This window comes from Homo sapiens, chromosome 3, assembly GCF_000001405.40.
Source record: "Homo sapiens chromosome 3, GRCh38.p14 Primary Assembly".
NCBI classification, from domain to species: Eukaryota; Metazoa; Chordata; class Mammalia; order Primates; family Hominidae; genus Homo; species Homo sapiens.
Window position 1 is genome coordinate 147,494,401 of NC_000003.12, and position 15,792 is coordinate 147,510,192.

The 15,792-nt window shown below is 33.3% G+C and overlaps 1 long non-coding RNA gene across 1 annotated transcript in view; it reads left to right on the forward strand.

Moving 5' to 3' along the window:
- The window catches only part of LOC440982 (uncharacterized), an 88,584-nt gene extending 73,074 nt beyond the window's left edge, over positions 1-15,510 (forward strand). Inside the window, exons 2-3 of the long non-coding RNA NR_121655.1 lie at positions 13,541-13,652; positions 15,195-15,510. This is a non-coding gene — a long non-coding RNA (uncharacterized LOC440982). The remainder of the gene's footprint in view (positions 1-13,540; positions 13,653-15,194) is intronic.
- The last annotated feature ends 282 nt before the right edge of the window (positions 15,511-15,792 follow it).

Consider the following 15,792-nt stretch of genomic DNA (forward strand, 5'->3'; position numbering starts at 1 on the left):
TGCTGAACATCTACTCAGTGAGTTGCTTGTGCTATGAATTCAACAAAAGTAACTAAGGTTGTTTTCATTAGAAAATGGTATTCTCCCATTTGACCCAGCAATCCCATTACTGGGTATATACCCAAAGGATTATAAATCATTCCACTTTAAAGAGACATGCACACATGTGTTTATTGCAGCACTGTTCACAACAGCAAAGACTTGGAACCAACCCAAATGTCCATCAATGATAGACTGGATAAAGAAAATGTGGCCCATATATACCATGGAATACTATGCAGCCATATAAAAGGATGAGTTCATGTCCTTTGGAGGGACGTGGATGAAGCTGGAAACCATAATTCTCAGCAAACTAACCCAAGAACAGAAAACCGAACACTGCACGTTCTCACTCATAAGTGGGAGTTGAACAATGAGAACACATGGACACAGGGAGAAGAACATCATACACCAGGGCCTATCGGTGGGTGGGAAGCTAGGGGAGGGGATAGCATTAGGAGAAATACTTAATGTAGATAAAAGGTTGATGGGTGCAGCAAACCACCATGGCACATGTATACCTATGTAAAAAACCTGCACATTCTACACATGTATCCCAGAGCTTAAAGTATAATAATAATTAAAAAATCGTATTCTCTTCCATATATTTAACATTAAAAGACAGTTTCAGTTTCCTGCCTTTTCCTAATTCGGTAAGTGATGCATTGGTTTTTATTCTGGTTATAGAAGGAAATAAGGAGGGGTTAGGGTGTTTCTTAAAATTATAAAAGATTAGGGGTACTTTATAACAAATACAAATGAAAAAATAAGGTATTTAAATTTATTCTTAAAAATTATTGTGAAAATGACTTCAACAAGATTTCCAGGCAAAGGTAAATACATCGTAAGATTAGGTAAAGACAACATAAAATCTGGAGAATAATAAACACTAGTTTTAAGAACATGGTGAGAGATGACCTCGTAATCATGCACTAGCTTGGGTTTCATGCATTTCTTGGAGAAACAAGATACATAATAAGATCATTGTTGTCACTATAAGCTACGAATTCCTCTGGCCAGTAGTAGCCAAAGAAAATGTTAAATTTTGTTTGATTTTAAACATCAAGAATACTTTTAAAGAGATGTAAAATTGGAGGCATCATATGAACTTTCTAACTTTTGCTTATAATTTTGATAATCATTTTCAAATAGCTACTGATCATTATATGTTCCTTTAGGAACGTAACGTTTGAGGCCGGGCGTGGTGGCTCATACCTATAATCCCAGCACTTAGGGAGGCCGGGGCAGGCAGATCACAAGGTCAAGAGATGGAGACCATCCTGACCAACATGGTGCAACCCCGCAGCTACTAAAAAGACAAAAATTAGCCTGGCATGGTGGCGGGCGCCTGTAGTCCCAGCTACTTGGGAGGTTGAGGCAGGAGAATCGCTTGAACCCAGCAGGCAGAAGTTGCAGTAAGCGCCGAGATCGCGCCACTGCTGTCCAGCCTGGCGACAGAGCAAGACAAAGCCTCAAAAAAAAAAAAAAAAAAAGAAACATAATGTTTGGGTATACTTTAAAACCACATAGATTGATTGTATTTCACTGATAATACATTTTTCCTTCTATTGTTAAAAATTATATTGAAGTTTATCTTTTCTTGTGAAATTATGGATTTCCCAGATTTAGATTTGTTGCCATATTTATGCCTTAAATGGAAATAATTTTTGTAAAATTCATTAATTTTATTCTCATTTATTTTTCCATTATGAGAGATATTAATTTTTAGAGAAAAATAAGACCTTGAGACTTGCTGAGATGTAGCACCTGCAGAAAAATTATTTCCATAAAATAGAAATAAATAAAATCTGTAATTAGATACATGAGTTATAGGTATGCATGTAGGCACTTCTATTTTATATGTACTTCTATAAACAAATAAATTAATACATTTGCAGAAATCTGAAACTTTTCAGAAACCTACTCTAGTCTCTAAATACTTATAATGACCTTGTTCAAGCTAAAGTCATAATTGTTTTCAACACTAATAGGCATTCAAGCTAAAAGTTAAGATAATTATAAACACCAGCATCTAAAAAAATCACGTGAAAAATGAATTCATGTTTCTTTTAAAGAATCTAAAACAAAATTTTCAATGTCTAAATTTGTCGTACAATTACTGGTTAACTTCAAAGAGTTTTCAAAAATGTATACTTACCTAAGGCCATTTATTCAATGAATTCATCAAGCAGACATTGTGTGTGAGATACAAAGCCCACTTTCCTTAAGGTTTCATAGTCCACTACGGAAGATAGACAAGCAAACAGAAAACTATGGCTCAAAATGATAAATGGTCTTGGGGAAGTTCTGAGTATCCTGGGAACATAAAAAGGAGAATTTAACCTACAATACCAAAGAAGGATTCTTGAAGACCAGAGGTCAGAGATTATTTTATATTTGCATTGGTAATAGTCGTATTTTGAAGTGTTTGATAATTTGCTAGTTTTGAACATTTCTGAGCTATCACCATTGATAAAGCCTCTTCTGACAATCCAAAAAGGAATACATGCAGTTCTTCAAGTTTCTGAATAAGTGTTATGTAAAGCAGTGAAATATGGTCTATATCGAACCATAGTGGTCCTTTTAGCTTGTTATCTTTTGACTTCAATTATTATTGATGTTTCTATTCTAGACAATACTCTTTTGCAAATATTACTAAAATATACACATCCTAAAACTTAAGAAAAATTATACCATATAAATATTCATGAGTATGAGAATGTGCAAGAAGTTTTGGTTGCTTATATCCAATCCTTTAGCTTATAAGTGATCACAATGAAGCCCAAATAGACTTGAAGTTGCTTAGGTCAAGGTGGATTTGAAGGAATTAAATTAACCTGAGAGAATGTTAGAAAGAACCAGAAAATCTGGAAGCAACCTGCCGTCAGACTTGCCAGAGGTCAGGAAGACCTCTTTAGGAAGAGGGAGAGTGTCTGTAAAAGATTCCCAACAGCTGGGTTGTAAAAGGTACAGCTGGAGCAGTTGGAAGAGAAAGTGGAAAGGCCTGAAAATGCAAAAGAATGAGGGTAAAATGAGATGTGCCTTGCTCAGAACAATAAGAGAAAGGCAGGAACAGCTGCAAGGTTTGGATCTGAGATGCATGGCAAACCCAGTTGCAGGGAAGGCCTGAATGAACGGCAATGTGAAATGCATATATATATATATATGTGTGTGTGTGTGCGCGTGTGTGTGTGTGTGCGTGTATATATATGTGTGTATATATATGTGTATATATATATGTAGAAGACAAATACTTAGATAGAATTAATATGCTTAGAAAGTAAAGTTCTTAGGAATGAAGTGGCAGCAATAAAGATTAAAAGCTGGAGAGTATTGTAGTGACAGGTATTTTGATTATGCTTTTAGGATAGCAACATACTGTAAATACCAAGCTAAGAAATGCTTAGAACTACACTGGCTACACAAACCAATTATGTTCTGAGTTTGGCATATTGTAACTTCTTAACTGGGGCATTTAAAATATTCCCTAGTCTATTTATACATGGATTGATAGGAAATTCATTTAACTTGCTCTACAAATAGTTTTAAAATATTAAAACATTTACATAAGTTTGAGATATTTCTTATCTTAATTATATAGGGTACAGTAGTAGTCAATTAATTTTTTCTTTCACTATTAACAATGAGCTTTTATGAGATTGCTGCTTGGTGCAAGAGCTGCTGTCAGTCTTTGGGTTATTATAGTTGCTGATATGAATTTAAAAGGAAAATAATATTAATCCCCCAAAACAACCTTTCTTCAAATTATGTAGCATCTGCCTCCTTTTTTTTTCACTGCATAATATAGTCTGGCAAAAAATAAGTGTGATCTTAATTGTTAGACTTGTTTATTCCAGGGAGGAGCCAATGGAGCACTTACGGTAATTAACATATTTTGTCTGGTCTTCTCATTTTGTTAATGATATCTTATTGAAGGCTGAGCAGTAATTACTGCCCACTGAGGTACATACGCTGAAACAAATTAATGGCCAATGACCAATAATGATTACACTTGTAATTTTCTACTGTGAAATATCAGAAAAAATTGAAATTAAAAATAAAGTTATTTGAAGCTAACATTTAACTGTTTTGTTAAACTATGCTAAAATCATTTTAACAACTCAACAAAGAAACGATATACCACAACTTTATCATCACTTCCACCATTTTCATATTAATTTACAAGAAAATTAATTTTTCCAATGTTTTACATTTTTACCCAATGGGATACAAAAGTAAAAGTGGACAAAATAGGACACAGTTTATATTCACTTTCAGGTACGGCTTTTAGGTATTTGTAGCACTTTTACTTTAAGATTGACAACATAATTTTTCAGTGATTTCAAGAAGTAATTTTCTAGACCAGAAAACAGTATTTCCTCTTTTTTCCTTTTTAACAGGATATTTTCCCCCCAACTCCTTCTTGTTATTTATCTATGCATAAGAAATGCTGGGATACTTACCACTTTAAACAACTTTAATACTTTTTATTGCTCAAACTTTATCTCATGGGTTTATCAAAATAAATCATAATCTTCCTATAACACTGCCTACTATAACTTGGGGTAGAGGGTGATGATAGATGTTCCCAAAGTTTCTGTAGTATACAATTTGACTGGTAAAGTTGAGCAGCTTGAAACTCCTCTTTTTAAAAATTCTACCAGCAACTTCAGCACATATATTTCACATGTGGAAAAAAAATGATAAATTTTAGCTGAGAATTAGCATAGTGTACTATTGGCATTCTTTGGACTGGAATGTAGGAGTTCTGGGACATAAATCTGTGTCACTAATTAGCTGGACTCATTGGTTCTGGGCCTTGGTTTTCTGACCTGAGAAATGGGAGCTTTCTACTAGATTATCTCCAATGTCACTCATAGCTTTAATGTTCCATAGTAAGTGTTGTAATAAGGATCACAGGAGACTGGGAATTATTTTTCTTTTTTCTGGTTAGATCATTGTTTGAAAACATCTTATTAAGAACTTTAGGTAATTTTAATTACTTAAGAGTTCAGTTTGTAGCGTCAAATTTTCTTGTCTGTAAGTTTTAGGCCTCATCAGATAATTAAGGTATGGAATAGACTTATATGTTTTTGTTTACTGAATGGGAAAACTAACCCTAGCATCTAAACCTGGATAACTAGCTTAAATATATACAATATTTTAAAATAAACTTTAAAAATAAAATTCAGATAAATATTATTATGTAAAATTGTTAATAAAATGTAATGATTTCATTTATTACAGTGTTTTGTTTCTTATGAGAATTTGAGTTTCTATGGGATCAGAATTCAATTTTTACATAGTTTTGTACCCTGACTTATTACACATAAGACTGCAATAAAGATTTGTTTAAATAAAAAAAAATGTTAAAACAATTTTGGACTGTATGTTGCTATGTTGTTTTCAATTGTTTTAAGTTTCAAATATCTTCTTTTCTTTAAATTAGAAATGGACTTTTTATAAGATAAATCAAATGTTTTACAATGAAGCAATTAAAGCTTGATTCTTTGAGTTAAGGTTTATTATTTGGATATGGATATCACACTGGAATTTTGATCTCACTGTTATGAGCAGAATATCACATCCAAATTACTTTTTTTGAGGAAATTGGGCTTAACGAGGATACAAATTGCCAGATTATTATTAGCCAAAATTTCTGCCCTAGAGATTTTAGTCTGTCTACTAAAGTTTATCATTATCTTCTTTAGGACCCCCTAGCAAAAGATGAGAGTTGTTATCCAACTTTAAGTTATTTCAGGACTTCTGGCTGATTTTAATTTTTCCTTTAAATTCATGGGAACGGGTCGTGTACGCCTGGCTGAACTTGGTTTAGATTTTTGACAGTTTTTTATTTGCGTCCCTTTTGGATGTTTTTCAAAGTGTCCAGACTATTCACACCACATCTGAATAAGCACTACCCACTGGTTTAATTCAAATTGTCTGGCATACTTCTAATTAGTATTGTTAATGCTTACAGATTATTATTAATAAAATAAAGTGTTGCACCTGGAGTTTACTGGAGAAATGTTTAGAAGCTTAAACGAAAAATTTAAGCTTTTAAAAATTGATTTTAATAGAAAATTCGTGGTTGGAGTACAACAAGAAATGACAAGTAACCAAAATAACTATCTCTTATGATATAATTCCCAAACTGAAATTTTGGCAGTAATCCTTTAATATATTTAGACTTAGCATCATTGGCAAACTGAAAGTTATAAAGATGTATATGGAGAATACTTAGAAGCTAGTTTTGCTATACCAATGATTAGCAAATTTCAATTATGTCCAAATTCAGTATATGCCTGCACATCAGTACGTATTTTAGCAACTAAAAAAGCTGTTTGCAATAATATTAAGTTATAAATGGTTTCCAGTTCTTACTTCCTCAGCAGTGAGTGAAAAACACAACAGATTATAAAAATATTATCTAGAAGTATGCTGGAAAAATACATGTTTATGTGTGTCTACCTCTGTAATAATGGAGTGTTTTTCTTCATTTTTCTCAAGACCATTTAAGGAAAGTTATTTAAGAAGCAAATAAAGCAAGAACCTGAAATTTATTTAATTTTAAAAAGTATGACTTTCTAAAAGTGAGGTTGTGGGCACTTACTCCACCATCATCTTTTCTACTAAACTGTGCATCATGAATTTAAGCAAGTGGATTCATCAGTTAGAGGCTCATATTTTTAAAAATCTGATGTTTTATATTTTTCTTGTTTGGAGCATTAGTGAAGTTTTTCAAAAATCATTTGCTACATGTATACTTGTGTTAATAGTTTTGATTTATATCCATATCTTTATAAATTCTCTTAAAACGTATACGAGCATTTACAATTGAAATGCTCATATTTACAACTGAAAAATTTAAAACTTATGTACATATACCTGGTACACTAAAAAATTCAAAGGAATAAATTACTTTCCTTATTTTGCTCACAAATTTAAAATAATTCCTACTATGTCTTTTTCATCATTGATCTGTATATTGGAATTGTGGTCATCAGAATATCACGTTCATTATTTTGTTTTGGAAATATTTCAACATCTCTATTCAAGGACTGACTGGATCATGTTTACAGAGGCTTTTCAAGGCGTCTGTTCTTAGCCACAGCTGAGAATGGGGCCCACCGTGCTGACTGGAAGCATCCACCTAGAATTTGTTGAATTAAGTCCTTGCACCTGGATATAATTGTTGTAACGCTGTGCTGGGGTTTTCTTAAGCTACTGGTAAAACAAATTAGCTCAATTTAAACTGGCATCCAGTAGAGAAGCAACAACTCACCTCATATAATGTTTTCCAAATAATTATTTTTGTATTGCCAGGTTTACCTCATGAATATTTTCCTGAGGGTTGGTTGAGAAAAAATGTTTTTAAACTAGAGATGTGATGAAAATTCTGCTCATGTTATAGGCTTTGATATTATTGCAGTATAATTAAGATACAGATAAATATGTGATCATAATTTCAGTTAAGCTGGATTATTCCCCTTGCTAAATAAAACATAAATTCAGATATTTAGTTGTGAGTTAGAGCTGAAGAAATATTCTCATATCTGTATTTAAGTTTCGTTAGCCATTGTCATATTTGCTGTGGACTTAATGACATAACTATTTTTACAGGCAGAAAAGATGCACGTAAGGGTCCTGATCAGCTGAAGACAAGATTCATTTATGTTTGTCAGTAGAGCTTGTCATCTTATTTGGTTATGCATGTTTTCAGTCATTTATCCTTGGCAATTAAATATACAAGCTTTCTGGAAATCCAGTAAATTTTAAATTTTAGTAGCTGTTAAGAATGGAACTGGTGTATATGGGCATAGGAGACTAATACCCATATATACTTCTTTGTGCATTAATTACTTATGCACCTAATACAAAAATCATAGGCACCAAGTGAGTGCCAGGCAGAATTCTTAGCACTGAGGGCACAGCTGGGAAGCATAGGAAATTCCTGCCTTCCTGACGTTTACATTTTAACTGGAGAGACAGACAAAAAATAAAGTAGAAAGAAAGACAGACAGAGAGAAAGAAAGAAAGAAAAAAGAAAGGAAACAAAGAAAAAGGAAGAATATAATTTCAGTGAGTGTTATATTCTATGAAGAACATAGTGTGAGCTAGAGTATGGAGGAAAGGTACAACTAGATTGTTTAGACAGAAGGGCTTCTCTGAGAAAGTTATCGTGTATCAATAAACACACATGCTACCTGCATTTATATAACGTTTATTTCTTAATATGCATTTGTATTTGCAATACCTTGCACAATGTTTAGCATAAAATGAAAGAAAAATGCTCTTTGTAATTGGAGATGGAAGGCAGCTAGCATCTTGAAAAGTCTGTGCACAGATGTAGGGGCATATATGTAAAAGACTGTTGATATTATTGTTTTGCCAAATATAACATAGACAACGTAACAGCCTAATATTATAAAATTGTCTATTACAAAGGTTTGGATATAAAGCCCTCCAGAGTCCTTTTTAATCACTGTCTTCAAAAATTGTTACTTCTTCTTTCATTATAATTTGTACATATTTCTGTTATAGTGCGTCCCACATTGCATTGCCATTAGTTATATACAAATATATATTTCTTTCTAGATTTTTCTCCTTGACAGTGTTTGTCCTTTAACATCTTTGTGTTTCTAAGCAAATCAAATTTGTTTTGATAGAAGTGTGTGATAGTGGGGATTTTACTTTATTTCAGTTACAATGTTCTGACCTGATTACATGGGAATTTTTCACTTATATGTTGATGTTCTGAGAGAAAAATATTGTCTTTAAGTGGCAGAGCTTACCAAATTCCAGCAAACCAGCTAGCTGACTTGTGCTTATTGCTCATAGAAAACATTGTAGCTAAGTTGATTAGCAATGACAACACTACTGCTGCTGCTGGAAATATCTACCATTTTTTCAGCCTTTTCCAGTGTTAGCTATTGGCCACTACTTACATTGTTCTATCAAATCCTGACAACTACCCTATCAGATAGGTATTTATTGACCCACTTTATAAATGTGTAATTGAAACTCAGAGAGGATAAAAAACTGCCTGGTCACCGGCCTTGTCATAATATTATGTGTGCTGAGTTATATGAAGTTTGTTATATATAAGAAAAATACTATAAAATTTCAAATTAAAAATTTATAAAATGGCTACTTTATATATCTAATATGTGTGTTGTTACATGGCAATGGGATATTCTTTTGAATGTTTAGTGGAGAATGGGTGTGAAGTGTCAGGGATATGTATTTTGCTAAAGTTTGGGATGGGTGTATGTGTATATATGTCATATGTGTAAATATTTGCATAGTTATTTGATACTATTAGCTTTGAGCTGAGTAGCACTCACTATTATTCCACTCTACAAAAGGAACTTTGGAGGACAAGGGCCATTTCTTGTTATCTCTGTGGCCTCAATGATACAATGTAGACACCTACTAAATGCTTGTTAAAAAAAAAATTAACAAGGCAATTTCATCACTAAGGCAATACATAGCATAGGAGCCTCTAAGAGTTTTACTTTCTTCAAATTTAAAAAGCAGCATCAATAACAGGGGAAAACAACAAATAAATAGCTCTTGTTATTTTTATTTTAAAAGATCAGTAGAGTTTTATTTTGATTACAAGACTTGATCTTCAAAATTAAGTAAAAGTGTATTTGTATCTTCCTATGGAATGATGAAAGTGAAGGTCAGTCCCTACTGTTGGTAATTTATTTTATGGTTATGTGTCTACAGGTACATAAGAAGTAGAACATACTCAAAATGCTTTGTAAAGTTTACACATATTTGATTCTTGCAGCTCAAAGTGAAGAAGTGGTCTAGATATAAATGTAGGTGACTTGAATATAAAATATTGCTATTATATAATTTTGTATATCAGATATTAGAAAAAACAAGAATGTGATTATTTATGTAATAGGTTCAACTTCAGTAGTTACACAGCAATTTACTGAGTACAGAGTAAAAAAGTATTTAGTCCACAATTTCTATTAATTAAGAGTAGAAGATGATTTTTAGTAGAAGCTCCTTATATATTGTATGGTACAAGTCTAAAATTCTCAGAGTTAAAGAGAGGAGCTTTATGAACATGTGCTTATTCTGTTTCTCTTATTTTTTCTGGGAGAACGCTTAGTTCATTCTATGGAATTAAGGCCACCCCTGAAGTAATCTCTCTCAGAATTATGTGCTGCTTCAGGTATCCCAGTGAAAGAGGTCTCTCACAGTTCTAATATTTTTGATAAATTCATATATAGACCAAAATGTGAATGTGACATTATTTTAAATTCCCCAAATTATCTGATCTAATCTTAGTGTTCCAAGTGTAAATCTGAAGGGAAATTAAATCGTATTTTGTTGAAAGATAGTATTGTAGAGACTTACTATAAGGCTCTAGAAGTTACCTGTCTGTCATGAAAGATTTGTTTTTATGGGACTGAATGATATATTGTAGATTTCATAGAAAACTCTATGTTTTCAAATTTTTGATGTCCCAAATTTAATTTCACTAACTGATACCCATGGAGTGTTCATACTGAATTGATATGGGGAGAGATAACCGGCAGTGAAGAGGTGAACAATAATCTAGTTGCTCCAGGCATCTGTGATTTTTCCTACTTCTATATTATTTCAGGTGCTCTACATTTTGCTTTTAAAATAACCGTTTTAATTCTATTGATTTCTCTACATCTCTGCTTGTACCAGCTACCATCTTCTGTCACTTGGACTGCATGCTGACTTCCCTGCCTCTAGCCTCCCACTTTAAATGCCCTGACATTCATTCTCCGTACAGGAGCCAGTATTTTTTTATAGTGTAAGCCAAATTATGTCTCTCCTTCTTTAAAAGGCTTTCAAGGCTTTATTTATAATTGCCCAAACTGAAAATAATACAAATGTTCATCAACTAGTGAATGAATAAACAAATTATAATAATTCGTACAATAGAATTCTTTCAGCAATCATGAGCTGTTACATACCAGAACATCGGTGAGTCTGAAAGGCATTATGCTAATTAAGAGAAGCAAGACACAAAACCTACAAGATTCCATTTATTCCATTTACATGACATTTTGGAAAAACTATAGGGACAAAATCAGACCAGTAGTTGCTAGGGGGTGGTGGATGCAAGAGAACTTTTTGGTGTGAGGTAAATGATCTATTTCTTGATTGTGACAGTTGCACATCTTTATACATTTATCTATAATCATCAGTTTTACATGCAAAGAGTGAATTTTAATACATTCATATATGATGTGACATATTTGTATGTATCTGTCTCTGTCACACACATATACACACACACACTCTCTCTCTCTCACACACACACAAACACAAACACACATATATGTATAAAGAGAGTTCCAATCCTATAGAATGCGTTGTATCCCCCTAGAAATAAAAATAGGAAAGTAAACACATTTTCATAAAGTGCCTCCCTTTAACTCCAAGAATTTTGCACATGTATTGTAGGCTGTGAGGAGCTTCTGCCCCAAATTATGTACATGAGGTACATTATACCCCAATAAATGTGACTTAAGCATCAAAAAGCATTCAATGGCCTTCCTGTACTTAGACTGAAGCTCCATAGCCCTAACTGTGGTCTAGGAGGCCCCTTGTGAACTTGCGTCTGCCTGCCCTTCACCTGTTTTCTCCCACTACCTCTCATTGTTCTAGATCATTTAGTAAGTTTTCTTAGATGTTTGATATTTAACTTTCGAAACAATAATTAGCATTCAAAAGTAACATTTAATATTTGTTGAGGATTTAAAATGTGAAATTATATATCAATAATTCCTTGAAATGATACCTATATTTTCTCTTAAAAATTAAAATTCTTATCTACAAACTGTCTATATCTGTCATAATAGGCATCTTGATTTTTTGTTCATGGAAAGCGAAGAGAAGATTCAGTAATTTTAAATATCAGAGGGGTTGTTCAACTTAGACAACAGCTAGTTATTTTCTGTCAGTTGAACATAATATAGGATGAACTTATACTATATTAATTAATTACACAAATGATTTTTTATATCTATTATGTAACAGGACACATAAAGGGGGCATTTTCACTTTATAAATATACAAGGATTGAATTTTATTAAGTAATACGCTCTTCTATTTTATTTACAAATATAATTTAACATATAAGCCATCACAGTCATGTGCTTCAAGATATGTTTTGGCCAACTATGGACTGCATGTATGACAGTGGTCCCATAAGATTTTAGTGCTGTATTTTTACTGTATCTTTTCTATGTTTAGATACACAGATACTTACCTTTGGGTTGCAATTACCTGTGGTATCCAGTACAGTAACATGCTGTACAGGTTTGTTGCCTAGGAGCAATAGGCTATACTAAATAGCCTAGGTGTGTAAGCTACACCAGCTACATTTATATGAGTATATGCTATACTATGTTTGTACCAGGAGGAAATTGCCTAATGACACATTTTTTAGAATATATATCTGTAGTTAAGTGACACGTGATTGTACATATATTTCAGAAATATGCAATACAACTTCTTGTGTATTGAATGTGAGTCAATGCACAAATATATAGCAAGTACAATTTATAATGGGAGAGAGACTGAATATAGAAAACACACACACCCACAAAAAATTTATTCAATTCTAAGAAAAATACAGTTTTCTAAAAGTGGGAACATATAAAAGTAAAAATTTAGTTAACATATGTCTAAATTAGATTTACAAAGCTTCTATAAATGCATTAAAATAGATTCATATCAATCATTAAAATATCTCAAAAAAACTGATCATATATATTATCTGATAGTGTACCACATCACATTGGTCACCTTTACATACTATGCCTCCCAGGAGTATTTCAGAACTGGACAAAATTTTCAACTCATGTGAGAATTAGCAAAATACAAATTGAGCCCATAATGGTGTTATGGAATTTTAATTTTCAAAAATGTTCAGTTGGCTATTTCCTTCCCTCCCTCCCTCCCTCCCTCCCTCCCTTCCTTTCTTCCTTCCTTCCCTCCTTCCTTCCTTCCTTCCTTCCTTCCCTCCCTCCCTTCTTTCCTTCCCTCCCTTCTTCCCTCCCTCCCCCCAATTCTCACTCTTCTTTACCCTTCCGTTTTTTCTTACGCTCACTTATTACAGTCACTGTAAGAGGTTTTCAGTTTATGGCTCTAGGATATCTTCAATTCACCTGAAATTTTTGCTATTCTGCATGAATATAGTAAATATACAGACCACTGGCTAGCCTTAGTCCCAGAATTTACTTCTTTTCTCTTAGTTAATTTCCTTTTCAGTTCCAGGAACAGGAAAACATTACTCAGGGAACATCTTGTGCAATGATGCCACATCCATCACTTAATAAGAGCTTGTTTTCAACTTTCTGAACCAGCGGGGTGACCTTATGTTCCCAAGAGAGGGCCTAAAATGCACTGGGCAAAGCTCTACCTCTTGAAATGGCTGTTTGGTGTTACAGATGTTCAGGTGACTGACTGATGGTTTCCTCCCTCTGTATGACAGCTCCTGGGAAGCTCTAGGATGTGACTTTAAGCTGGAAAGACTCTCAGGAGCTAGGTTTGATATGGCACAATCTCAAGGCATCGCTAAGTCTGAAGTTCTTCCAGCAGGTCTGGTGAGTTCTGAAACTTTCCTGGCAAACCCATCTACTCTGACAGCACAAACAGAGAAATAAAAATAAGGGAAATATCAAAGTTAAGGCCTTCCTGGGTGTAGTATAACATACTGGTTAAAAGCTGTAGTTCTGAGGTTGAGATTGTTTGGGTACAATTCCTCATTCCACCACTGCTGGCTGCACAATCAGGGCATCAATTTTCTCATTTACGGTAATAAGAATATAATGATGAAAATAATAATAATACTTACATTCAATGGAATTACCATGAAGATTAAATTAAATTAACACAGCCTAGCACAAAATAAACATTAACTAAATGTTATCTGTTAGTATTGTTGTTATTGCTATTATACTGTTATTCTAAGCCTCAGCAGATAATTTGGCCACAACTGAGTAACTACTAGGGATTTTCTTGTATTATCAATTATACAAATAATTTATGGAACAGTTGTGATAAATATATACCTAAGGAGGCTGGGCATAGTGGCTCAAGCCTGTAATCCTGGTACTTTGGGCGGCTGAAGGAGGAGGATTGCTTGAGGCCAGGATTTCAAGACCAGCCAGGGCAACACAGAGAGACTTTGTCTCTACAAAAAATTTAAAAATTAGCTGGGTATTGTGGCACACACCTGCAGTCCTTGCTACCAGAGAGGATCACTTTAGCCCAGGAGTTTGCAGCTACAGTGAGCCATGATTATGCCACTGCACTCCAGTCCAGAAGACAGAGCGAGATCCTGTCTCTAAAAAAAAACAGAGTAAGAAGTTAAGAAAATTATTTTAAAATACATGTGGTTGCTAGAATTTAAAATATTCATCACCAGTTTGTATGGAGACAGGAAAATGTTGTGTCTTGAGTCAATTTTTATTAAGTTTTGTGCAAAAACATCTCATTTTCTTGGTTTTATAATTAGATAAAATATTCAAGGGCACAAAAATATTACTTAAAGGAGGAGGCGGCTTAAGAAGTAAGCCAATATATATTATATTTTCCTAGGATAATTTTCTGTAGGAAATTAGATTAGATGAGAAAAATAAAATTTCAGATTTCACTTGGCATTTTGTAACCCTGCTTACACAAAAGGTTAAAAACAAACAAAAATTTTACTTATCTCTTTTTATTGCACATACTTTCTCTGGTAAATTCTATGCCAGATGTAGGAAGCAAATTATTAAAAATACAACTTCCAGCAAATAAAGAGGCAATTATTGCTATACTGTTTTAATATAAAATCTGAGATAACTTTTCAATGAAAAATATTTATCATTTTTATATCTATTTCCTCATCTTCCTCTTTTTCTTTATTATTATTATGGTATTATCGCTGTAATTCATAGAAATGACACATTGCTAAATGGCAGTGAACACTGAACAAAGGTAAGACAAAATTAATTTATGCAGGAAAATGAGCTAGAAAAGCAGAAAGATCCTTTTCTACATAGTAAATACATTATTTGTAGAAATCATTTTTACTTGCTAAGTATTTCCAGGCATGCAAATAACTGTTATTCTCAACTGTCTTTTCTATGTCTTGGCCAAAGTAAACCACAAAGGACAAGCAGCTCAGAGATTAGCGAATGCGTCTCAGCTGTCCTAGAAAAGTGCTGTCAGCAAGTCTGAAGAGTTTCCCAGAAGCCCTGAAAGGACGCAATAGCATCATTTAGCAGAAAGAAACAGCCCTGGATTAATGTTCTTTTGGGATTCATCTTCTGGCTTTGTGATTTTGGGCAAGTTACTTATCTTCCTCCATTTATTCACATATATAATGAGAGGAGTAGTACCTACCTTACAAACTTTTCTGTGAGAAGCAAAAAAAATAAAAATAAAAAATAAAAAATAAAATTGTTAAATATTTGCTATGTGTAAAATGCTTATTCCTTTAAAGTTTTCATGTCAGTTAAAACATGTTATTGGCTTGAATCCTGACTCAAGAACGGAAATAGTAATTGTGTCTGCCATTCAGGGTGACACAGTTATTTCCACTGGTTCAGGGTGGTGGGGTGGGAGCTACTAGATAGAACAGGTGGGGCAATTCTTGATACATTTTCGTGTTTTTTGTTACTACTAATCCACCAACTCTTGTTTTCACTCAGAAGCAGATAAAATGGACATATTTATTATAGACTGAAAAATGATAAA